This window comes from Homo sapiens, chromosome 18, assembly GCF_000001405.40.
Source record: "Homo sapiens chromosome 18, GRCh38.p14 Primary Assembly".
Lineage (NCBI taxonomy): Eukaryota > Metazoa > Chordata > Mammalia > Primates > Hominidae > Homo > Homo sapiens.
The window spans coordinates 27,147,802-27,175,351 of NC_000018.10; the positions used below are offsets into that span (position 1 = coordinate 27,147,802).

The 27,550-nt window shown below is 36.8% G+C and overlaps 1 protein-coding gene across 3 annotated transcripts in view, besides 1 other annotated feature; it reads right to left on the reverse strand.

Annotated features, from left to right (window-relative positions):
* The window catches only part of CHST9 (carbohydrate sulfotransferase 9), a 278,828-nt gene that overhangs the window by 241,321 nt on the left and 9,957 nt on the right, over window positions 1–27,550 (reverse strand). The gene's annotated exons all lie outside the window — the stretch shown is intronic.
* Window positions 15,255–16,454: an enhancer, noted in NCBI's record as "CDK7 strongly-dependent group 2 enhancer chr18:24743020-24744219 (GRCh37/hg19 assembly coordinates)". NCBI's record gives its function as "activates an origin of replication core promoter dependent on BRD2, BRD4, P300/CBP, MED14 and CDK7 cofactors, with strong dependence on CDK7, by STARR-seq in HCT116 cells {active_cell/tissue: HCT116}" and the evidence as "EXISTENCE:reporter gene assay evidence [ECO:0000049][PMID:35650434]".

A 27,550-nucleotide genomic window follows, 5' to 3' on the forward strand; every position in this document is an offset into this window, starting at 1 on the left:
AATATGTGTGTGTTTATCTGGACACTATTCTGTTCTATTGATTCAATACTATACTATTTCTTTTTTTTTTTTTTTTACTTTTAAGTTCAGGGATATAAATCCAGATTTGTTAAATAAACTCACGTAACAGGGGTTTGTTGTACAGATTATTTTGTCACCCAGGTATTAAGCCTGGTACTCATTAGTTATTTTTCCTGACCCTCTCCATCCTCCCAAATTCCACCCTCTGATAGGCTCCAGTGTCTGCTGTTCTCCTCTATGTGTCCACATGTTCTCATCATTGAGCACCTACTTATAACTGAGAACATGCAGTATTTGGTTTTCTGTTCCTGGGTTAGTTTGCTAGGGATAATGGCCTCTAGCTCCATCCACGTTTCCACAAAGGACATGATCTCATTCCTTTTTATGGCTGCATAGTATTCCATGGTATAGACGTACCACATTTTCTTTTTTTTTAATTTTATTATTATTATACTTTAAGTTTTAGGGTACATGTGCACAACATGCAGGTTTGTTACATATGTACACATGTGCCATGTTGGTGTGCTGCACCCATTAACTCGTCATTTAGCATTAGGTGTATCTCCTAAAGCTATCCCTCCCCCCTCCCCCCACCCCACAACAGTCCCCCGTGTGTGATGTTCCCCTTCCTGTGTCCATGTATTCTCATTGTTCAATTCCCACCTATGAGTGAGAACATGCGGTGTTTGGTTTTTTGTCCTTGTGATAGTTTGCTGAGAATGATGGTTTCCAGCTTCATCCATGTCCCTACAAAGGACATGAACTCATCCTTTTTTATGGCTGCATAGTATTCCATGGTGTATATGTGCCACATTTTCTTAATCCAGTCTATCAATGTTGGACATTTGGCTTGGTTCCAAGTCTTTGCTATTGTGAATAGTGCCACAATAAACATACATGTGCATGTGTCTTTATAGCAGCATGATTTATAATCCTTTTGGTATATACCCAGTAATAGGATGGCTGGGTCAAATGGTATTTCTAGTTCTAGATCCCTGAGGAATCGCCACACTGACTTCCACAATGGTTGAACTAGTTTACAGTTCCATCAACAGTGTAAAAGTGTTCCTGTTTCTCCACATCCTCTCCAGCATCTGTTGTTTCCTGACTTTTTAATGATCGCCATTCTAACTGGTGTGAGATGGTATCTCATTGTGGTTTTGATTTGCATTTCTCTGATGGCCAGTGATGATGAGCATTTTTTCATGTGTTTTTTGGCTGCATGAATGTCTTCCTTTGAGAAGTGTCTGTTCATATCCTTCACCCACTTTTTGATGGGGTTGTTTGTTTTTTTCTTGTAAATTTGTTTGAGTTCATTGTAGATTCTGGATATTAGCCCTTTGTCAGATGAGTAGGTTGCAAAAATTTTCTCCCATTCTGTAGGTGCCTGTTCACTCTGATGGTAGTTTCTTTTGCTGTGCAGAAGCTCTTTAGTTTAATTAGATCCCATTTGTCAATTTTAGCTTTTGTTGCCATTGCTTTTGGTGTTTTAGACACGAAGTCTAATAATGGCCTCTAGCTCCATCCATGTTTCCACAAAGGACATGATCTCATTCTTTTTCATGGCTGCATAGTATTCCACGGTATAGACGTACCACATTTTCTTTATCCATTGTATCACTGATGGGCGTTTAGGTCAATTCCATGTCTTTGCTATTGTGAATAGTGTTGCAATGAACAAACATGTGCATGTGTCTTTATGATAGAGTGATTTATATTACTGGGTATATATCCCGTAATGGGATTGCTGAAGTTGTCTGTACAAACTATTTTCAGCTTTTTTTTTTTTTTCTTTTTACATTGTATTTTTCTGAAACTCTTACTAAATGTTGAGGCCTTTCAATATACCTCACAAGGTTTTCAACTGCTCTGCCATTTATTTTAAAACATTCCTTTTTTCTTAAGCTGTAATCTGGGTAAATTCTTCTGAGCCATTTTGCAACTTAGCAATTTCTCTGTCTTTATCTATATCTTAGTGTTTATTTTGCCTGTTGTGTTTTCCTAATGCCGTATTTTTCATTTCTAATATTCTGTTCCTACTTATTTCATATTCACTTGTTCAAGTTTCATTTTTCTTTGCTTTTCAAGTTATATATCCTTTAATTGAAAATCATCCTTTATCTCTTTGCATATTTAAAATATATATCTAAGTTTTTGTCAGACTGCAATATAAAAGTTACATTTTGCTTGTAGTATTGTGGCCTCTCTTTCTTAGCATTAGATTTATTTCTTTATTTTAAATTCTGATGTTTACATTCATTTTAGTGAAAGGCTTTTTGATTTTTTTTTTTTCTTTCTCTTTATCTTCTTTTTCTCTTTGTCACTTCCTTCCTTATCAAACAACTTTGCAGTTATCTCTAAAATGCTCTTTGGGCTCTTTTTCAGAGCTAAGTTTTCCCATCATTGGCTTGGTGTCCCCTGAGCCAGAGTGACATTGGTACTAGTGCAGGCAAGAGAGTTAGCCTGGAGATTAGCTGGTTTTCCAGCACTTCTGTGTCTGTGTCTGAGTCTGGTTCTCTAAGCCTAGCACATTCTAAACATTACAGCTTCAGGTGGAGATTGCTACCATTCTTTTACTTCCACCTTCTTTCTCACTGGGGCATAGATTGGCACCTTAGTCCCTGTCCTTGTCTTCAATCAATGAGCCTGCCTCCCAGCTCTTACTTAGGAGTTAATCTTCTAGCTGTTCCAGCAGCTTCCAAATTTAAAGTCTAACAGGCTTACTACAGTTTCAGCCCATTTCACCATTTTTGTTAGTTTACTTCTGTTCTTGATTTTGAGTCCTGGTTATGTCTTCCTGTTTTTTCATTTTTAAATTTTATCTGACTTTGGTTTGTTTAGTGAGCAGACTAGAATACCCAAATATAAATACACTTGTCTTTCTTGACCAGAAACCTTCATGTAACTTTTCAATCCTAGTTTTCTTTGTCTGTAAGAACAGGTCAATAAAATCTACCCTATGTATCCAACAGCTTTACAAAATATTAAGTAAAACAGAATGTGATGGTCTTTTAGAAAACTATAAAAACAGTATGAAATTTATTATAAAGCACCTTAGTATAAATTGGCTTAAGGGGTTTAGATTTTCATTTGATAGGCTTGGTAGGCACATAAACGTTTTGAAAATGTATTGTTTCTATCAACCATAGTGAAATTAAACTGTGGTATGTAGTTTAATGATATTTAGTCAATTATGGGCCTTGGTTTATTTAAAGGGAAAGAAACTGAGATGGTACTCATATAAGTCTTTGTAAAATGTGTAACAACCATAAATAGTAAATATTTACTAAATTGTTTTTAATTAAATGAAGAATGTGACCTTTATCATTTATTATTTCATTTACTAGTTTAGTAGTTAAATAACCCCATTTTAATCTATTTTAATACTGTGTAATTCCTGAAATTTTGTAATCATTTCTATATGTTTTCACTCAATTCTCCAAAAAAGTGGGATTGTTTAAACTTTGATTTTGAGATAATTTTAGACTTACATAGATGTTGTAAAAATATCACAGAGTCCCTGCATACCTTTTATCCAGTTTCCTCAAAGGATAACACCTCACGTAAGCACAGTACAGTTACCAAGACCAGGAATTTGACAATGGTGTATGTGGCAAGCAGAATAATGAGTCTCCCAAAAGGTCCACCCCCTAATCACTGGAAGCTGTGAATATGTGACATTACATGGCAATGGAGAATTGAGTTTGCAGACGGAATGAAGTTTGCTAATAGGCCAACTTAATATAGGGAGATCATTCTGGATCATCTGGGTGGACCCCATGTAATCACAGAGTCTTGAAGAATGGAAGAGTGAGGCAGAGGAGGAAGTCAGAGTGATGTGATATTAAGAACGACTGGAATCACCTTTGTTCATTTGGGGGATAAAGAAAGGGAACCATGAGCTAGGGAATGTAGGTGGCCTCTAGCAGCTAAAAAAGACAAGGAAACAGATTCTACCCAGAGCTACAGAAGGGACCGCAGTCCTGCTGACACCTTAATTTTAGCCCCTGTCAGACTTCTGACCTACAGAACTGTAAGATAATGCATTTGCATTGTTTTAAGCCACCAAATTTGTGATAATCTGTTATAGCAGCAAAGAAAACGAACACAGTACAATGCCATTTGCAAAGTATCATTTTGAAGGAAGACAGTAGTAAAGTTGCTTTGAATGGGTAAAATCCTTCTGGGATTTTTTCACATATTTTTCAAATGGTTTCTCAGATGCAGTGTTTCATGGGCTATTCCTGTAATAACTCAACTGCTCACTGTGTTTTGTCATACAGAACACAGAAATATATCCTTTTTCTAGACACTAATTTATAGGTGCTTCCTTATACATCTTGTTGCTTTGATTTTCTCTATAATTTATTTAACAGGTGTCTTCTACTTTTAGCTGTTGTGATTAAGACTTAATTATAATTAAAATTTTTAGCAAGACAACCCTTTGCCCTTATATTCTTTGTTTTAGAAGAAAAAGTTTTAAACTCATATTTTACATTCTAGTATTCAGTGTAGAGTCTTTTTTTTTTCATTTTAAGCAACAATAGTCTATCTTTAGACTGCACAAGCTAAAACCAAAGGCCTTTGTACACATTTGCATTAAAGAGTGAAAAAACACAGAGGTTATTGCAAAATGATTTGTTCATCCCATCCCTCAAGTCTGCTTGTTCCCCATTCTAAAGATTTCAAAGTTTTAAAGAATTTCAAAGCACTAAATTTGAGTGAAAGAAAAATATCATATTTGACATTTGTTTACACATAGTCACAAGAATATGCAGCATGCACTTACATGCCAGTTAAGCATCATCAGGATCAATGTTAACCAACATATGTTGAGAATCATCATTGCATTAAGTAACATGTAAGGTACATCTGGACTCAAATTATAATTTATTAAAGAGACCAATGTAGATAGAGATAGAAGATTTTAAAGGGAGCCTTTTAAAAAATTTTTGGAGTCCTGGGATTTTTCTGCGGTGGTACAAAAAAATGGTAATTTGGGTGGTCATATCTAAGATGACTTGAAGGAGTTATCAGTGAGGGATGTGTCTGATGAGCTAAGATAACTATGGATTGGGTAAGTCAGTTAGCAACTCAAATGAGATGATCAAGTTTTAGTTGTCGTAATTAATCATGTAAACTAAGAAGTGCTGAATAAAGCTCTTGAATAAAGACCATGATTGGGATCCATTGTGCTGTAACCAATAGAAACGAGCAGGTTATAAGCAGGAAGTGGAATTAAAGAATACCGAAGTGGGTGCTGTGTTGCTGCTCTAATATCCATTCTGCTCCTGTGTGTGGAAGTTACACAGTTTAGAATGGATTGCCCCCACCTCCAGCTCCAGCCATGGGCCTGAAATAGTGTAATCCCAACAGTGTCATCCTATGCTCCTTGTCAAAATAGTTGGTTCGGGAATGACCACTTATATTAGTTTCCTGTGGCAGCCATAAATTACCACAAATATGGTGGCTTAAAACAACAGAAATGTATTCTGTTACAGTTCTGGAGGCCAGATGTCTGAAATCAAGGTGTGATTAGGGCCACACTCCCCTTGGAGGCAAGGACAGAATCCTCCTTGCCTCTTTAGGTTTCTGGTGGCTCTAGGTATGTGGTTGCGTAGATCTAGTCTCTGCCTCCCACTTCACATGGCCTTTTCCTCTCTCTTGCTTTCTCTTTGTCTCTGTCTCTGTCTCTCTCTGTCTTTCTCTCTCTCTCTCTCTCTCTGTGTGTGTGTGTGTGTGTGTATGTGTGTGTGTGTGTGTGTGTGCCTTCTCTTCTGTCCTGTATCTTATAAAGATACTTGTCCTTAGATTTAGGGCCCATCCAGCTAATCTGGCATGATCTCATTTTGAGATCCTTAACTTAATTACATCAGCAAAGACTCTTTTACCAAATAAAATCACAGATTCTGGGTGTTAGAATGTGGACATATCTTTTTGGGGTCACCATTCAACCCACTACACCAGGTGACTCAGGGCTTCCCAGGCTGCAGTGATTATTTTGCAGGTGATCTGAGAATGAAGCTCAGAGCCTCAGTTGGATGGTTATGGGAAGTAATATTTTATGTCCTAGTGAATGTGAATAAGAAAGCATGTAGTTCCTGCTGTTGCTGGCAGCTCTCTGGCTGCCTTGATGGAAGCCAGTCTGAAAAATAAGCTGGCACAGAGGAGGCTAAGCTGAGAAACCTGTAGAGAAACAGAGGAAAAGCTCTGACTGGACCCCAACTAGACCCACCCTGCCTCTGAATTTGTAAATTAGGCAAGCCAATACATTTTTATTTCTCAATTTTATTATGAGGCAATTTTAAGGTATAGTGAGGGAACTAAAAATAAGCTATAGTTAGGGTACAGCATTTTTTGCATGATAATCAGAAATAAATGATAATAAATATGCTAATATTTCTTAAGCAGTTATATTCTCGGTGCTACTACTCTAAGCATTTTATATTGATTATTTAACTTAATTTTCACAATAACCTTGTTTTCTTTTCAGACAAGAAATATCATTTAAGCACATGGTCAAATTCAGAGTTCAGGGAGAGATGAGGTAAGAGGTATGGGTGGAGACAGACTGCAGAGGGCCTTGGTGTCTAAATTATGGTGATTACATTTGTTCTGTGGACAAGAAGAATGAATAGATTTGTGCTGTGGACAAGGGAGTGGAATGATCAGCTTTACTTTTGGGGAAGATCACCCGGATGTGGTGTGCAAGCTGACTGAAAATAAAGAAGACCACAGGCATTCAAGTCAACAGATTAGCCATTGGCCAGGGAATCACCAGAAAAGAACTATACTAGATTATAGTCCAATATAAAAATCTTTCTGTCCTTTGGTTTATATGCACATCTTGCCTTGTTCTTGGAGGAGGTTTATCACAGCGGTTCGGTATGCAGATTCTGGAGCCTGACTGCCTGAATTCAAATCACAACTTGACCACTTACTAGCTTTGTGACACAGCTCATTATGTAACCTCTATGTGGTCGGGTGTGGTGGTTCATGCCTGTAATCCCAGCACTTTGGGAGGCTGAGGTGAGTGGATCACTTCAGATCAGGAGTTTGAGACCAGCCTGGCCAACATGGTGAAACCCTGTCTCTACTAAAAATACAAAAATTAGCTGGCATGGTAGTGCGCTCCTGTAATTCCAGCTACTCGGGAGGCAGAAGCATGAGAATCCCTTGAGCCTGGGAGGTGGAGGTTGCAGTGAGCCAAGGTCACAGCATTGCACTTCAACCTGGGCAACAGAGTGAGACTGTTTCAAAAGTTAAAAAAAAAAAAAAAAAAAAGAAGTAACCTCTATGTGCTTCAGTTACATCTAAATTGGGGATAATAAAAGCCCCTACCATAAAAGGCTGCTGCAAAATAAGTTAGTACATGAAAAATATTTAGAAGAATGCTTTGCCCATAGAAATGATCTACAATATTAAGATGTTAGTATCTTTATATTCCAGATGCTTAGCACAGGGACAGCTACATTGTAGGTAATGAATAATTCTTTGTTGAAAGATTGGATACTGTTACTTCAAAAGACAGTCTATTTTTACTGCTAGAGAGGTTTATTCTTTCCATTCATGCCAATTCAAATCAATCAATAAACACCTATTAGGCCCAGATATGATTAAGGCCCTGTGCTAGACAATGTGGCAAAGCCAGAATGAGTAAGATTTAATACCTGATCTTCATTAGAGAATATTTGAACCTATCTGTTTATAACTTGTACTGGTTGTTCTAGTTGAGCTTTCTAGAACAACTCATAACAAATCTGTTCTCTCCTTTACATGAAACACTTTCGAATTATTGAAAACAATTATCCTGTCTACACTTAATCTTTTTTACTCCAGGATAAACAATAAATATACACAATTCCTTCAGCCATTTAGTATAGGACATGGTTTAGGAGAATTCAATCAGTTTAATCATCCTCTCCAGACATATTCTAGTTTGTTAATACCTTTTTGTAAATCCAGGGCTCAGAAATAGATACAATAATCCAAGCATGATTAAATGGACAAATAGTGTTATGAGAATCAGCACCATAAAAATGGTGGCTAAACTTGAATGCATCCACCGGTAAAATGGGAGAATAAAGCAGGTTATATGTTAGAAGCTTGGGGGATTCTTTTAGCTCACATGAAAGGAAAATACAAGATATAAAAAATAATTCAAAGGAAAAGATCATGAAGTAGGAAACATATTATAAAAAACGTGTGATTAAGAAACCGAGATAGGATATTATCACACAATATGCATGAAAACAAACTTTTAATATACATTAATAAACAAGTACAAGGAAAGGATTTAAGGAACAGTAGGAATGAGGGTTAACTATGAAATATGGCCAAAAAAAAAAACAGTGAAAAAAGATGAACCTGAAAAGATGATTTTGTCAGTGTCAAAAGTATTGAGAGAAAATCAAAAAGGACCAAAGGGTTCTGAAGAAAGGAATTGAAAGATGAGAAATGTAGTATCCCTCCCATTAGTTTGAAATGTCAGAAAAGAAGAAGTGTATGTGAGATATACCCTTTAACCTTAAATAAAAATAAGGTATTTTGGGTACTATGTATATAATCAATACTAATTTAAATTTTCATTTTCTGTTTCAGTGATGACAGTACATGAGTTTTTCATGTCAATTAAATAGAAGAAATTGCCTTTCAGGCGGATGTAGTATAATATATAAAATCAAGTGAATTTGGTGGGGTGTTGTGACTGAAAATAGTGAGATATTCCAAAAACAGGATAATGCAGGAGAATGAGAAAGAGACAAAGATTTTAAAAAGCTTCATAGTGTTAAGATCTCAACAAACAAGTAAACAAAAACGAGCAGCATTTAAGAGGCAATGGGCAACAGAGTATCCTAGAAAGTCATTATGATCTCCCCACATACTTCGTATGAGTAAAAAGTAGTTCAAATTAGATTATTAGCCACAATGTAAAACAGAATGGATCAAGCTGGTTTTGAAATATAAATATTTACAGTAAAATAGAAACATCTGCACTTAATGTCAAATAGTTAAGGCTACATCTATGCAACAAATTATTGTGACAAATAATTTATACAAAATGTTTGGCATTGCTCAATATTAAACAGTGTCTAGATATATTTTCAAATAAATATTTTTATGGTGAGATAATAAAATGTAAATAAATATAATTGTTTTGGTTATTATCTAGATAAAATGTGTTTATATGTTGTCACCTTATTTCTGAATTATTTTTGTCACATTATTTCTGAATTCCCCCTTCTGCTCATCACATAACAATAAAATCCTTGTAGAAGTATTGTATTTATAGAGAATCCTCCTTCCTTATGCCAGATATGTGACATAGCTATTTCTGTTAATGATTAGCAGTCAATACCTATTTGGAAGATTGATTTTTTTCCTTCATCATATATTATCTAGGCATCAGATGTGTTGTTATTGTAGTGTGTCTTTTATAGAAAGAATAATACTGCTCTCCATACAACAGTAAAATTCAATGGCTAACATAAAACTCTATAAAACACTAGAAGTATGTGTATATTCTGAAATTAATATGATTTGTTTCTTATAAAGTTTGTGAGCCATGAACTCATTGCTAGCTTCAAGCAATCACATGCAAATATTTATTAAGTTCTACTATATGCTCCCTGTCTTATCTCTCGTTTCACATTCTAGCCCATGTGTGGTTAGCCTGCAACCATTTAATAGAGAAATAGCATGGACTAAAACAGCAGAGGTCCTAATCCAGAAATCTTGGTTTAGAAAAGACAACTAAATTAAATCCGCAAAAATATCTACTGACAAGAAACGTATAGGAAGCGCTTAAGGCATTTTCAAAAACCACACCAAACAGTGCTCACATTAAAATTCCAAAGTAACTGCCTAAGGTAGTTACTGAAATAAATATAGATATATAGAGAAGCCTAGAATAATGCCAGCAAATCAAAGCAGAAATAATATATAACTCTGAAAATTAATTCCAGAAAAACAAGCTTAAAATACAAAACATGTAAAAAAAAACTGCATTGTAAAATTTTAAGGATACCATAAAATTATAAATAATTAGTGATAATTTTAGTGTTATGAATATGCTGGTTAATTTTAGTTAGTTTAGTTAACTAATCAATGAAGAGAATTTCCAGTAAAATGGGGGCATATTGGACTCATGCATTGATCTCTACTCCCTCATCAAACCTCTCTAAACTGAAAGGAAATGAATTAGAAAAGAAATACAGTTACAAAATATAGATAAGGGAAGGGAGAATTTTACAAGAGAGACATCACAAAGTTTTTTTGTTTTTTTGTTTTTTTAATTATACTTTAAGTTTTAGGGTACATATGCACAACGTGCAGGTTAGTTACATATGTATACATGTGCCATGTTGGTGTGCTGCACCCATCAACTCATCATTTAACATTAGTTATATCTCCCAATGCTATCCCTCCCCCTTCCCCCCACCCCACAACAGGCCCCAGTGTGTGATGTTCCCCTTCCTGTGTCCATGTGTTCTCATTGTTCAATTCCCACCTATGAGTAAGAACATGCAGTGTTTGGTTTTTTGTCCTTGTGATAGTTTGCTGAGAATGATGGTTTTCAGCTTCATCCATGTCCCTACAAAGGACATGAACTCATCATTTTTTATGGCTGCATAGTATTCCATGGTGTATATGTACCACAATTTCTTAATCCAGTCTATCATTGTTGGACATTTGGGTTGGTTCCAAGTCTTTGCTATTGTGAATAGTGCCACAATAAACATATGTGTGCACGTGTCTTTATAGCAGCATGATTTATAATCCTTTGGGTATATACCCAGTAATGGGATGGCTGGGTCAAATGGTATTTCTAGTTCAAGATCCCTGAGGAATCGCCACACTGACTTCCACAATGGTTGAACTAGTTTACAGTCCCACCAACAGTGTAAAAGTGTTCCTATTTCTCCACATCCTCTCCAGCACCTGTTGTTTCCTGACTTTTTAATGATTGCCATTCTAACTGGTGTGAGATGGTATCTCATTGTGGTTTTGATTTGCATTTCTCTGATGGCCAGTGATGATGAGCATTTTTTCATGTGTCTTTTGGCTGCATAAATGTCTTCTTTTGAGAAGTGTCTGTCTGTTCATATCCTTCGCCCACTTTTTGATGGGGCTGTTTGTTTTTTTCTTGTAGATTTGTTTGAGTTCTTTGTAGATTCTGGATATTAGCCCTTTGTCAGATGAGCAGATTGCAAAAATTTTCTCCCATTTTGTAGGTTGCCTGTTCACTCTGATGGTAGTTTCTTTTGCTGTGCAGAAGCTCTTTAGTTTAATTAGATCCCATTTGTCAATTTTGGCTTTTGTTGCCATTGCTTTGGTGTTTTAGACATCAAGTTCTTGCCCATGCCTATGTCCTGAATGGTATTGCCTAGGTTTTCTTCTAGGGGTTTTATGGTTTTAGGTCTAACATTTAAGTCTTTAATCCATCTTGAATTAATTTTTGTATAAGGTATAAGGAAGGGATCCAGTTTCAGCTTTCTACATGTGGCTAGCTAGTTTTCCCAGCACCATTTATTAAATAGGGAATCCTTTCCCCATTTCTTGTTTTTGTCAGGTTTGTCAAAGATCAGATGGTTGTAGATATGTGGCATTATTTCTGAGGGATCTGTTCTGTTCCATTGGTCTATATCTCTGTTTTGGTACCAGTACCATGCTGTTTTGGTTACTGTAGCCTTGTAGTATAGTTTGAAGTCAGGTAGCGTGATGCCTCCAGCTTTGTTCTTTTGGCTTAGGATTGACTTGGCAATGCAGGCTCGTTTTTGGTTCCATATGAACTTTAAAGCAGTTTTTTCCAATTCTGTGAAGAAAGTCATTGGTAGCTTGATGGGGATGGCATTGAATCTATAAATTACCTTGGGCAGTATGGCCTTCTTCACGATATTGAGTCTTCCTACCCATGAGCATGGAATGTTCTTCCATTTGTTTGTATCCTCTTTTATTTCATTGAGCAGTGGTTTGTAGTTCTCCTTGAAGAGGTCCTTTACGTCCCTTGTAAGTTGGATTCCTAGGTATTTTATTCTCTTTGAAGCAATTGTGAATGTGAGTTCACTCATGATTTGGCTCTCTATTTGTCTGTTATTGGTGTATAAGAATGCTTGTGATTTTTGCACATTGATTTTGTATCCTGAGATTTTGCTGAAGTTGCTTATCAGCTTAAGGAGATTTTGGGCTGAGACAATGGGGTTTTCTAGGTATACAATCATGTCTTCCGCAAACAGGGACAATTTGACTTCCTCTTTTCCTAATTGAATACCCTTTATTTCCTTCTCCTGCCTGATTGCCCTGGCCAGAACTTCCAACACTATGTTGAATAGGAGTGGTGAGAGAGGGCATCCCTGTCTTGTGCCAGTTTTCACAGGGAATGCTTCCAGTTTTTGCCCATTCAGTATGATATTGGCTGTGGGTTTATCATGGATAGCTCTTATTATTTTGAGATACATCCCATCAATACCTAATTTATTGAGAGTTTTTAGCATGAAGAGTTGTTGAATTTTGTCGAAGGCCTTTTCTGCATCTGTTGAGATAATTATATGGTTTTTGTTGTTGGTTCTGTTTATATGCTGGATTACATTTATTGATTTGCGTATGTTGAACCAGCCTTGCATCCCAGGGGTTAAGCCCACTTGATCATGGTGGATAAGCTTCTTGATGTTCTGCTGGATTCGGTTTGCCAGTATTTTATTGAGGATTTTTGCATCGATGTTCATCAGGGGTATTGGTCCAAAATTCTCTTTTTTTGTTGTGTCTCTGCCAGGCTTTGGTATCAGGATGATGCTGGCCACATAAAATGAGTTAGGGAGGATTCCCTCTTTTTCTATTGATTGGAATAGTTTCAGAAGGAATGGTACGAGCTCCTCCTTGTACCTCTAGTATAATTCGGCAGTGAATCCATCTGATCCTGGACTTTTTTTGATTGGTAAGCTATTAAGTATTGCCTCAATTTCAGAGCCTGTTATTGGTCTATTCAGAGATTCAACTTGTTCCTGGTTTAGTCTTGGGAGGTTGTATGTGTCCAGGAATGTATCCATTTCTTCTAGATTTTCTAGTTTATTTGCGTGGAGGTGTTTGTAGTATTCTCTGATGGTAGTTTGTATATCTGTGGGATCGGTGGTGATATCCCCTTTATCATTTTTTATTGCGTCTATTGGATTCTTCTCTCTTTTCTTCTTTATTAGTCTTGCTAGCCGTCTATCAATTTTGTTGATCTTTTCAAAAAACCAGCTCCTGGATTCATTGATTTTTTGAAGGGTTTTTTGTGTCTCTATTTCCTTCAGTTCTGCTCTGATCTTAGTTATTTCTTGCCTTCTGCTAGCTTTTGAATGTGTTTGCTCTTGCTTCTCTAGTTCTTTTAATTGTGATGTTAGGGTGTCAATTTTAGATCTTTCCTGCTTTCTCTTGTGGGCATTTAGTGTTATAAATTTCCCTGTACACACTGCTTTAATAGTGTCCCAGAGATTCTGGTATGTTGTGTCTTTGTTCTTGTTTGTTTCAAAGAACATCTTTATTTCTGCCTTCATTTCGTTATGTACCCAGTAGTCATTCAGGAGCAGGTTGTTCAGTTTCCATGTAGTTGAGCAGTTTTGAGCGAGTTTCTGGATCCTGAGTTCTAGTTTGATTGCACTGTGGTCTGAGGGACAGTTTGTTATAATTTCTATTCTTTTACATTTGCTGAGAAGTGCTTTACTTTCAACTAAGTGGTCAATTTTGGAATAAGTGTGGTGTGGTGCCGAGAAGAATGTATATTCTGTTGATTTGGGGTGGAGAGTTCTGTAGATGTCTATTAGGCCCACTTGGTGCAGAGCTGAGTTCAATTCCTGGATATCCTTAACTTTCTGTCTCGTTGATCTGTCTAATGTTGACAGTGGGGTGTTAAAATCTCCCGTTATTATTGTGTGGGAGTCCAAGTCTCTTTCTAGGTCTCTAAGGACTTGCTTTATGAATCTGGGTGCTCCTGTATTGTGTGCATATATATTTAGGATAGTTAGCTCTTCTTGTTGAATTGATCCCTTTACCATTATGTAATGGCCTTCTTTGTCTCTTTTGATCTTTGTTGGTTTAAAGTCTGTTTTATCAGAGACTAGGATTGCAACCCCTGCCTTTTTTTGTTTTCCATTTGCTTGGTAGATCTTCCTCCATCCCTTTATTTTGAGCCTATGTGTGTCTCTGCACATGAGATGGGTTTCCTGAATACAGCACACTGATGGGTCTTGACTCTTTATCCAATTTGCCAGTCTGTGTCTTTCAGTTGGAGCATTTAGCCCATTTACATTTAAGATTAATATTGTTATGTGTGAATTTGATCCTGTAATTATGATGTTAGCTGGTTATTTTGCTCATTAGTTGATGCAGTTTCTTCCTAGCCTTGATGGTCTTTACAATTTGGCATGTTTTTGCAGTGGCTGCTACTGGTTGTTCCTTTCCATGTTTAGTGCTTCCTTCAGGAGCTCTTTTAGGGCAAGCCTGGTGGTGAGGCAAGCTCTCAGCATTTGCTTGTCTGTAAAGGATTTTATTTCTCCTTCACTTATGAAGCTTAGTTTGGCTGGATATGAAATTCTGGGTTGAAAATTCTTTTCTTTAAGAATGTTGAATATTGGCCCCCACTCTCTTCTGGCTTGTAGAGTTTCTGCCAAGAGATCCGCTGTTAGTCTGATGGGCTTCCCTTTGTGGGTAACCCAACCTTTCTCTCTGGCTGCTCTTAACATTTTTTCCTTCATTTCAACTTTGGTGAATCTGACAATTATGTGTCTTGGAGTTGCTCTTCTCGAGGAGTATCTTTGTGGCGTTCTCTGTATTTCCTGAAACTGAAAGTTGGCCTGCCTTGCTAGATCCTTTAAGGACTTCTCTGCATTGGTTATTCTAGTTAGCCATTTGTCTAATTTTTTTTCGAGGTTTTTAACTTCTTTGCCATGGCTTCGAACTTCCTCCTTTAGCTCGGAGTAGTTTGATCGTCTGAAGCCTTCTTCTCTCAAGTCGTCAAAGTCATTCTCCATCCAGCTTTGTTCCGTTGCTGGTGAGGAGCTGTGTTCCTTTGGAGGAGGAGAGGCGCTCTGCTTTTTAGAGTTTCCAGTTTTTCTGCTCTGTTTTTTCCCCATCTTTGTGGTTTTATCTACCTTTGGTCTTTGATGATGGTGACGTACAGATGGGGTTTTGGTGTGGATGTCCTTTCTGTTTGTTAGTTTTCCTTCTAACAGTCAGGACCCTCAGCTGCAGGTCTGTTGGAGTTTGCTGGAGGTCCACTCCAGACACTTGTTTGCCTGGGTATCAGCAGTGGAGGCTGCAGAACAGTGGATATTGGTGAACAGCAGATGTTGCTGCCTGATCGTTCCTCTGGAAGTTTTGTCTCAGAGGAGTACCTGGCCATGTGAGGTGTCAGTCTGCCCCTACTGGGGGGTGCCTCCCAGTTAGGCTACTCAGGGGTCAGGGACCCACTTGAGGAGGCAGTCTGTCCGTTCTCAGATCTCCAGCTGCATGCTAGGAGAACCGCTACTCTCTTCAAGGCTGTCAGACAGGGACATTTAAGTCTGCAGAGGATTCTGCTGCCTTTTGTTTGGCTGTGCCCTGCCCCCTAGAGGTGGAGTCTACAGAGGCAGGCAGGCCTCCTTGAGCTGCAGTGGGCTCCACCCAGTTCAAGCTTCCTGGCCGCTTTGTTTACCTACTCAAGCCTCCGCAATGGCGGGCGCCCCTCTCCCAGCCTCACTGCCGCCTTGCAGTTTCATCTCAGACTGCTGTGCTAGCAATGAGCGAGGCTCCGTGGGCGTAGGACCCTCCAAGCCAGGTGCAGGATATAATCTCCTGCTGTGACGTTTGCTAAGACCACTGGAAAAGCGCATTATTAGGGTGGGAGTGACCCTAATTTCCAGGTGCCATCTGTCACCCCTTTCTTTGACTAGGAAAGGGAATTCCCTGATCCCTTGCACTTCCCGGGTGAGGCCATGCCTCACCCTGCTTCGGCTCACGCTCAGTGCACTGCACCCAATGTCCTGCACCCACTTTCTGATACTCCCCAATGAGATGAACCCTGTACCTCAGTTGGAAATGCAGAAATCACCCGTCTTCTGTGTTGCTCATGCTGGGAGCTGTAGACTGGAGCTGTTCCTATTCGGCCATCTTGGCTCCACCCTTGTTTCACACAAAGTTTTATAAATATGGAATGCAGACAAAGGAGTGATAACTAACTTTAAAGATCATAAAAGCTGAAATGAAAGTTTTTTCATAGATACCAGAAAGAAGCAAGATGTTGTTTGCTATAAAATCCAGGAAAGGTTGACCAGGTTGCCCCGAAGAGGGAAGGCAAGAGAGAAGGCAACAGATTATCAGAACAAAAGTGAGGCAAAGAATGTGGGGACAAAACAAAACAAAACAAAGTAAAACCAAAAAGTTAAAATAACTATATGTCACAGCCTCAGAAAGATAAGAGAAAATATTGGTTCCACCAAAAAAGGAAAGGCCCTATGTTTAATAAAAAGACAAGAAATCAGAAAGAAAAAAAAAAAACGCTTTTGCAAATGAAAAATATAACCAAGTGAAAAACATATGAGTTGGAAGATAAGTTAAGGTGATTCTTAGAAAGTAAACAAAAAGAAAAAAAAAGATGGAAAATTGAAGAGGAAAAAAAGCCAGGAAATTGGATTAATTTAAGAGATTCAACATCTAAGTAATAGGAATTTCAGACAGTTAGAAGTGAGAAAACAAAATGAAGAAGACCATTAATGATATAATTCAAGAAAATTTCAGGGAACTGAAAAACATGAGTTTCTAGATCTAAAGAGATCACTCTGAGTACTTAGCAAAATGGATAAAAAAATAAATACACTATGGGACATTGTCTTGACATTTCAGAACACTGGTAATAAAGAAAAGGTTCTATATATGTTGTCAGAGAAAAACAAACAGATCACATGAGGAGGATCAAGAATCAAAATTGTGTTAGACTTGTCAGTAGCAACACTGGAATCTAGAATAAGGCAATGGAGCAAGAATGCCTTCAAAATTCTCAAGGAAAACAATTATCACTTAAAATTGTATTAAATGCTACCAAATTCTATCAATGTGTCAATCAAGGTTGTGTGTGTAAAATAAACATTTTCAGACAAGTTCTCAAAATATCTACCTCTCGGAAAGATACCAGAGGACATAACAAGGCAAGGGAGTTAGATGAGCGGAAGAAATGGGATGCAGAAACCTGATCTGAAAAAGGAGAGAGAGAAAAGAAAATTTCGATTGGTTGGCAGGATAACAGCTGTGTAACAGGTGTAGAGAGCAAGCATTTCAAATTGGAGCAAAACAGATGCTTGGGAGACTGTGTGGAAAGATAAAACTGGCAGACAAGATGGTTTGTTTTAAAATCTAGACAGAATATTTAGACAATGATGAAGAGCTTGCTTGGATAAGTGATACAAACTTAGAACTTTGAGCAAATGAAAGAGTAAGATGCTATTAACTTCAGGGAAAATAGAAAATGCAGAAAAGGAAAAAATTAGATGAAGCTGCACAGCTAAATCGTGGATAACATTTACATTGTCATAATAATGAAAGCACTGACTCTAAACAAAATGGCATCACTATAATGGAAGAATAGGAGGGTTGGAAGGACCAGGACATACATGCATGGTTGAATGAAGAAGGAACAATGACTAAATCCTCTCATCCCATGGTGGGAAGTCAGTAGATAAAGCCTAAAACTAAAATATCAAGTTCCAATATAGATATTGTTGAGAGACAAAAGTAAGCACCAAATATAAAAGTTCACATGACTCATAACCAGCAGAGCCAGAATCCAAACATAGGCTTGTCTGTCTCCAAATTACATTGCTTCTGTGTCCCCTGCTAATAAAACTTCCGTAGTGATGCCAAAATTATGAAATGTATCAAAAATTTCTTTTAAAGGAGCTAATTTTTTATTAGTTACAAAAGGGGTTGATTAAATAAATGATAACCTAAGTAACTTAGTGCTACTATCTTAAGAAAACATTGTATTTTCTAACACTGGCAAATAGTTTTTCATCATTAACCCACATCTAAGTGCTTACAAAAGTGGACATCCACACTGAAATACCACAGCCACATAGAACTTCCTTTTTTAACGGCTACAAGTTCTTGCTATCACAAAATATATCTTCTGAATTCCTGACCCCTTTGTGGCATTTTACCTGCAGACTATTTTGAAAGGCTTCACAATCCTGGCTTCCACAGTGGTAATCATTGCTTTTTCAACCTTTAACAAACTCATCCCTTTCTCTTTCTTCTGTCTTGGAGTTCTCCCCTTCTTTCTCTTCTCTGCTTCGTCCTCCAAAAAATGACCTAATTTCTCAAACAGGAAATCTCAATCTGTATTTCCAGTTCCAATAACTCATCTGTTCTGGTCTCATATTTCTCAATGCCTACTAGACATTTTCATTTGTATATTCCACCATTTCTCACACTTCTTAATTTGTCCAAATTTCTTATGATCACAAACAGGGCTCTTCCTGATCTAGCTGTTGACCACCTCGTTAATTTTATCATTCATACCTGTCCCTCAAACTCTACTCTCCAGCAAAACTAAACTATTTAAATTCTTAAGAACTAGCTGCATTCTTTTTTTGTCTCTGGACACATGAACACTCTCTCTTTTCTTTTTAAGATCCTTCACCAACCTTGGGTTGATCTCTGTTCTTTAGAACTCATCTTTGAAGTGATGCTCACAGAATCCTCCATCCCAAGGACAGTGCCTTAGACACAGTGAGTGGAACAGAAATATTTATTGAATAAAAAAACAAAAAGACTCTTGGGTAGATGATCTATCTCTAGACAGTCTCTTCAGTTCAACAGAAATAATGGTGCTTCATTAATCTTTCTTAAACATTGCTTTTTAACTATTTTTCATTTGCCTATGTAGGGGAGGAAAAAATTTTCCCTCTACTGTTTTAGGGCTTTTTTCTTTTTCAGATGGACCTAATAATTAAATTGGCCTAAGACAGATCAACAGGAGAAAAACATACACATTTATTTAATATAAGTTTTACGTGGCACAGGAGCCTTCATAGGGAAATGAAGACCCGAAGATGCAGTCAGTGATGAACATATGTACTGAATTAGACAAAGAGTAGGAAATTAGGAAAATGTGACACAGCAAAGGAGCTAGGGGTAGAGTCCTTAATTCAGTGGAGAAATGACTAGGAGCATAAGGATTAGTCTAAGTTTGTTTGCACAGATTTTCCTGGGCCTCAACTTCTGTTCTTGATGATAGTAAGAGTGACGCTTTCCTTCTGGTAAAGGGAGGACATCTTTCTCTTAGGAATTTCATCTCCTGCTTTGGAGAAACAGAAGAAAGGTCAGAGTGATTTTTTGCACCTGCTGCTTTTCAGATGCTTTTAACTCACCATAGTCAATTTGCCAGAGTGGCTTATTTTAAACTCTTCACCTAAAAAGCCATCAAGATCCTTATTTAAAGTGGAAAACTCTTACGTCTGCCTTTCTAGGTTCTTCATAAATTGGTCACTATACCTCTGCAACCTAATGTCCAACTGCCCCTTCTGGTGTACTGACTCCTGGGCCCTCCATGCCCATCTCCATATCCATCAATTTGTTTTTGCTCTCCACTACATCTGTCATAGAACTTTCTTCTTTTCTGATTCTCAGTCCTAAAACAAATGGCTCAAGGCTGATGTCCCCAGAAAGTCTTCTTGGAGTTACTCTAGCATACTCTGATGATAACAGCAATACTTTAGTTGTCATTCATCAAATATATTTTCAGGACCTATTATTACACAGGCAGTGTTTAGGTATTGGGATACAAAGGTGAGCAGGAGAAAAGAAAGAAGTTACAACAAATTGAACATATGATTATAAAGTGTGACAAGTGCTAAAATCAAGGGGTAAGGTAGAGAATATTGGGTAAAGGGCACAGGAGACCTCTTTGGACATTTTGGTCAGAGGAAGTATCTTTAAGAAGGTGATATCTAAGCTGCGATCTGAAGTATGGGAAGGATCTAATCATGTGCAAAGTTGTAGTGAAGGAAGAGAGGTTTCCAAATAGTGAATCCCCTATCAAAATGCTCTGAAACAGAAAAGAACTTAACACATCCTAAGAACTGAAATAAGACAGTATGGCTGGAGCTTAATGAATGAAAGCAAAGTGGTCTAGAATGAGCTTAGAAAGATAGGCAAAAAGCCTATCAAGGCCTTGAAGGCAATTCTAAAGGGAAACAGATAGGCATTGAATGGTTATAATCAGAGGAGTGAAAAGATTATACCTATTTTTTTTTTTTTTTGAGACGGAGTCTTGCTCTGTCGCGCAGGCTGGAGTGCAGTGGCATGATCTCGGCTCACTGCAAGCCCCGCCTCCCGGGTTCATGCCATTCTCCGGCCTCGGCCTCTTGAGTAGCTGGGACTACAGGTGCCCACCACCACGCCCGGCTAATTTTTTGTATTTTTAGTAGAGACGGGGTTTCACTGTGTTAGCCAGGATGGTCTCGATCCCCTGACCTCGTGATCCGCCCGCCTCAGCCTCCCAAAGTGCTGGGATTACAAGCGTGAGCCACCGCGCCCAGCCTATACCTATGTTTTATGATCATTCCTGTTGCTGTAGGAGGAATACACTGAGAGACAAAGAAGCTAATTAGGAAGGAGGCTGTTTTAATCTACAAATACAGATAATGCTGATGACCTGGCCAGGGTAATACCACTAGAGATAAAAAGAAGTGACAGAATTTGAAATTATTTTTTGAGATGACATTTATGATACAGGGAAATTTTTGAAGGAGCAAATCAAGAGTTCAGTTTTGATCTTGTTGAGTTTTAGATATTAATGAGAAAACCAAGTAAGAGGTATCACATAGGGAGTTGAATATGTAAGACAAGGTCTCTGTGGTAGATAGAATTATGAGAGAAACCTCAATAGTCCTCTATAATCCCCTCCTCTTGAATGCAAACAAGACCTATAATTCACTTCTAATGAATAGCACATGAAAAAAGGTAAAGAAATTTTACAGAAATAATTAATGTTCTTAATAAGTTGACTTTGAGTCAATGTAAAGGGAGATTACCCTGGGTGAGGCTGACCTAATCAGTTTAGCCCGTTCAAAGAGGGTCCAGGACTTCCCTGAAGTTAGAAATGATCTCCTGCTGGCCTTGAAGAAGCAAAAAACTACATCTTGAACTTCCTATGGAGAGGGGTGTCCTCTAGGAGTTGAAGTCATCAGTCCTATAGCTGCAAAACACAGAATTCTGCCCACAAGTTCAAGCTTGGAAGATGACTCTGAGTTTCAGATGAGAATAAAACCCAGTCAACAGCTTGACTGTAGGCTTGTGATATTCTCAGCAGAGAGTCCACTTAAGTTGTTCCCATACTCTTAACTCATAGAAACTGACATGATATATGTATGTTGTTTCAAGCTGCTAAATTTACAGTAATTTATCACACAGCAATAGAAAACTAATACAAGAGGTCTAGGCTGAATACATAAATTTAGAAGTCATAAGCATATAGATGATCACTACACTTTGATTACAAAATTAAATTTACTAGAAATATAATTCTAAACTTATATGCACCTAATAGCATGGCATCAAAAAATATAAGGCAAAAATTGATAGAACTATAAGAAATGGCTAAATCCATCGTCAGCATTTTTTAAATGTACTTCTTTCAGTATTTGATAGAACATTCAGACAAAATTAGCAAGAAAATAAGAATATTTGAATAACAGACTTAAAAACTTTATGTAATGGACACACATAGTACACTATTTCCAAAATGTATAAAACATATATTCTTCTTTTTTTTTTTTTTTTTTTTTTTTTGAGACAGAGTCTCACTCATTGCCCAGGCTGGAGTGTGCAGTGGCACGATCTTGGCTCACTGCAAGCTCCGCCTCCCAGGTTCACACCATTCTCCTGCCTCAGCCTCCCGAGCAGCTGGGACTACAGGCACCCACCACCATGCCGGCTAATTTTTTTTGTACTTTTAGTAGAGACGGGATTTCACCGTGTTAGCCAGGATGGTCTCGATCTCCTAACGTCGTGATCCTCCCGCCTCGGCCTCCCAAAGTGCTGGGATTACAGGCGTGAGCCACTGCGCCTGGCCAGAAAATATATATTCTTTTAAGCAGCAAGAAGCAAAACCAAGCCAAGCAACATATATCAGCAGTATGAGTCCATTTTTATAAAAGTCAAAAACAGGCAAAACTAGACAAGATTTGCTTGAGGCAGGTACATATGCAAAACAGGAGAATCCTTAACACCAAAATCAGGAGGCTGGTTACCTCTTGAAGAGAGAGAATGAGAGGAGAACACAGAGGGTATGCTGAGACAATGCTAAATTCCCTTTTATTTTCCTTATTCTATTTCCCCTTACAATAGGTGGGATATGAGCAGAAGTCATACACACATCTTCATGGCCTGGTCCCTTAAAACATCCTATAAGATTCTCACATTATCTCTCTTTCTTTCATCTGCAGAGGAACCAGGGGATGACTTGAGGTGGTGAAAGGTGGCAGAACTGCCAAATGGAAGTAACCTAGGTCCCTGAATGACTTAATGGAGCAGAATTTCTCCATTGATCCTCACGGAATTGTGTCATGAATGTGAAACAGGCCTTTATTGTATTAAATGCCTGAGATATTTGGTTGGTCAAATCTCCCCTGATTAAACAGTTAATCTCCCCTGACAAAAGTAGGACACTTCAAAGATACTGGAAAAATTCTTTCCCTTCAGTGTGATAGTGAATACATGGATATTTATCTTTTATTATTCTTTAAATTGTCAATATATGTAATTTTACTTTAAACATTAAATAAAATATTTAATGCAAAAAAGTGGCAACTAGAACTCTGAAACTTCTGCTATTGATGAAGTAAAGGCTTTTTTACTCTGCCTCCTTTTTTTGAAAAAAAGAAAACAAAAATACAAAGTATAAAAACCACTAACTGTCAAGCATACCTGCTAAATCGTGTAAAATCTAGAGGGAGAAGAGAACAAGAATCGACACATCTACCTTCAAACCTTGAGCTTAATATAGATTTTTGTACAAATAATATTAGTCCCAAAAGGCTGTCCAGCAAATCTTACTGGAACAGTGGTACATAAATAGGTGATAAAGAAGGTGTATGTTTTCCTACTGAAACTCAGAATAACTGGGGACATCAGGCTGGAGAAAATAGCACACTCTCCTACCGTTTTTATTAGCTATGTAGTGGTCTCCCAGATGAGGGTACTGTGGGAGAAAACAGAAGAAAAGCGCATGACTACAAAATCACAACACAGTGTTAGGGGCTTTGCATGTTTCCAACTTGAGGGTAAGTGAAATAAACTTGGTGACAGAGGATATTCTAAACAAGACCCACACTGGAGCTGTAGGCTCCCCGTGTACAACACCTCCTGCCATTCCACATCATTAGTCCCCTTCAAGAATGGAAAACAATCAAAAAGTGGCTTATGAACTAGAGGCGCAGGCAAGAGGAAAGGGTGGGCATGGGGAGGACATGGATTAGGCACAAAAGAATGCAGGAGGTAGCATTACATGAGTCCTCCTAGAAGAAACTCCTTGATCATGAAATCTATTTATTCACAAAATAAACTAAAATAAAGAGAGAGGAGTGAAAAGACTGGTTTTGTGCACTGACTACATTTAAATATGAAAATACGAAACATAATATAATAAAAATGTAACCAAAATCTAAAATGAGGAAAGGAAATTGAAAGATTCTACATTTCATTTTTATTTTCTTAGTATACAGTAAAACTGACTTGGTGGGGAGCATACAGTCCTATGAAGTATTGTAAATGTACAAGGTTCATAAAGAGAACGTGGTTGTTTTACATTTTATTTTACCACGAAAGTGTTTTTTCTAAACTGGTCAGTAAATACCACAAAAGGCAAAACAAAAAACAAAACAGTTAATCATTGAGTTCTACATGCAATATCAGGAATACTTCTCAGGTAATGATTAGGTATTTATTTATTTCCAATAATTATGATTTTCAGTGTAATTTTGCTTACTTCTGAAGATAGGTTTTATAGTTCTACTTTGCTATTTCTTCTGTAATTGCAATGTTTTAATACATGCACAAATAAAACAGCTTCACTCTCCATTGTTTTACTTGTCCTTTCTGAGACTTTAGGTAAAATGACCTATTAAATACCATGAATGAAAAATGGTTATGTACTTGGTCTAGAGGTCTGCATTCTGTTTGCAGGGAATTCAAATATACTTATAATATCTAGAATTATTCCCCAAGGCACAGTCTTTTACACGGATTTATTATCAAAAGTTTCCATTTGTGCAAAGTCTTATTATCATATTTGTATATTCAATAAACTTAGAGTACAAATAGCTTCCAGCTAATAATTACCTACACAAATTGCTTACATAGCTATTTTCTTTTAATGTCAAATTCTGTATGGAAGTCCACCTTTCATACTGCTATAAATTCAAACAACTTTTAACTTATGTTATTCATGGTCTTGGAACTTTTAAAAAATATCTGAAATAAAAATGTATTAACAGTTTAATAAGATAACTAAATGTGATTTTACCCAGTTTTCTTGGGTGTTGAAATTCTTAGTGGTATGAGTGTCCTTTGTCTTACCACTGATATAAATATGAGTAGCATGGGAGTGGGAGGGGGATAGGGGTATAAGAGCAAAGCTGTTATATTATTACCTTTATTTTAAGATAATCAGTACTTCTTAAGAACATGCTCCATCTCCACAACAATTTGTTACTATTTTCTTCTTATTAAAACAATATCAAGTTTAAACTGATTACTAATATATTTGTCTTAATATAAGCTGAAGATGAACTGTAATTTTCCTAATAAGGAGATTCCATCATAGTGAATTTTAACCTCAAGATAGTGTAGGCTGGCAGTATCAAGAGACCAGTTCTTTCTGACTTTTTCAGAAACTCGAAACTCTCCCTCTTTGCTATTATTTATAATAATTTATCAACTTACTATATGAAATATGAGTGGAAATAACTATCCATATTCTTATCTTTGGTTTATTATATTGTACATTAAGATACATGATATATTGTATGTTAAGATATAAGAAGAGCTACATGTTTTCTTTTTATCATATACCAAAAGGCACCAATCTACTTGCTTTGATTAAGTTACCACACATATCTGCAGGAGCCCTAAATATCATCTTAGCACCATGCAAAGTATTCCTACAGGGACCTGATTAGAAATATTATATCATATGCTTTTACAGTATGAGGAATATTTTAAACATTTATTTTGAGGTTAAAATTTTCCTGAAGAAATAAATTTTTATTTACAAATTTATAAATATTTTTATTTAACCTCATTTACTTTGTCCCTGTCATAGAACCTGTACTTGATGGATATTTGTTGACTAAATCGAGAGCTTTGTCTTTTGATAATTGTATACCTGTGTTATTAGGCTGTAAGTATCTGCTTCTAATATATTAGCACTAACAGTGCTTGCCAGTCTTCCTGAAGTTGCAGAGTTGAGAATCACACAGGATTCTAAATGTCACTGTAGCCCTGGCCAGATCTATTCTACACTGAAACTGCATTCTGCTAGGTTGTAGACATTTTAGTGAAAATCATCAGTAATCTCATACTTTGTTTTGTAGGCGAGCACCAATGTTTAGGAAAGACATGGAAGAATAAAACACATATTGCCATAGATGACTCATTTCCCTTTAAAATTTCTCATGTTGAAAAGTTCTCATATATAACTGGAAAAATGAAAAAAATTATTTTATCTAATACATACTGATATTATCATATTATGTATTGTCTCCTACATTGCCTGAAACATATTCTTCTAAGGATAATTTTTTCTTTAGTGCTTATATATAAATTATGGAATTATTATAGAATGTTGAATTAAGATATTTAGATACTTTAGAGAAGACACTCTGTTAATTAAACAACTTTCAAACATTTAAGCTCACTTCAAGATATAAAAATTATTTTATCCTTTGGATAGCTAACTTAAAATCATAGGATATTTTTTCTAATTTTTATTTTGAAAAATGTCTAGCCTACAGAAATTAGCAATATAACAAGTGGCATATAATCTCTTTATCTAGATGTAAAAATTATTAACATTTTGCCATAATTATTTGCCTATTTCTCCCTTTCTTACACTTAAAACATTTCTTTTTGCTGAACCATTTGAAAGTTGCAGATATGAGATTTCACTTCTAAATACTTTCAAATATATCCTCTCCCTAAAGACACATCCTTCTATATAACCCCAATATGATGATCACACTCAAGAAATTGAACGGGGATGTAATACTGTTATATGAGCTATAGCCCAAATTCACATTCCTTCCATTGTTCCAATATTATCCTTTATAGATTTTTTTTCATCCAGAATCTAATCAAGAAGGATGGATGTCTTGCAATTAGTTGCCAGGTCTCCTAGTCTCCTTTAATCCTGAACAATATTTCAGGCTTTTTTTGTTAATCACACTGACATTTTTGAAGTGTCCAGGTTAGTTGTAGTGAAGAAAATCTACCAGTTTAGATTTGCCTGATCGTTTGTTTCCTCGTGATTAGACTCAGGTTAAACATTTTTAGCAGAATACTTCAGAAGAGACTTTTGTGTCATTCTTCATGTATCATAAAAAAAATACATGATTTCAATTTGTACTACTTCTAGTGATGTCAAGTCTGATCATTTGATTAGCTGGTATCTGTCAGACACCAACCATAAAGGGATGTCCCCCCTTTTCAATTAATAAGCAATCTGTAGGGTGACATGAAGAGATAATGTGAATATCCTGTCCCCATCAACCATTCACCCAATGGCAGATGACTTTTTTATTATTCTTGTTATGGTGGTTGCAAAAATGTGGCTCTACTATTTCTTTTTCATTATCAGCTTGTATTCTTCAGTGAAACACAGCCTTTCCTTCTCTCCACCCAATCTGTGCATTCACACACTCTGGGTTCACGGATACTTTTCTTAGTCAATGTGCTCTAATCCATTACATACATTATTACTCTTTATATACAAAAGATCCCAAATTTGGCCAGGGAGAGTCTTTTAAATCTGGCTATGTCCTTCTGATGTGCCCTCATTTGTTTTTGAGCAATTCCTTGCTTTCTGGGACAAAATGTTCAAGAGTTTCCCCTAAACTAGTTGAAGCAAGAAGGCTTTAAATAAAAACAGTGCTAACCCAACTCAGTTTTAATGCAGCATTTTGAATTCAGTCACGAATGTTAGCATAGTATCTAAAACATAGTAAGTGCCCATCAGTATGATATAGGTCTTCCTTAACTATTTTATACCTTGTTTGAATCTTTTGTGCAATTCTTAAAAATATAAACCTTTAATTTATAACATAGACTTTTATATTACTTTTTCAATTTCACCTATTTTTTTCTTATTTTAATTTTTGTTCTCCTTTATCTTCCTTATTTTCATATAGGGGCCATATGAATAGGTAACTTTCAGAGGATTTTTGTTTTCTTCAATATGGTAAAATCTTAGACCACTTCTTAATGCCGGAATGTATACAAACAGCAGAGCATAAAACCCCCA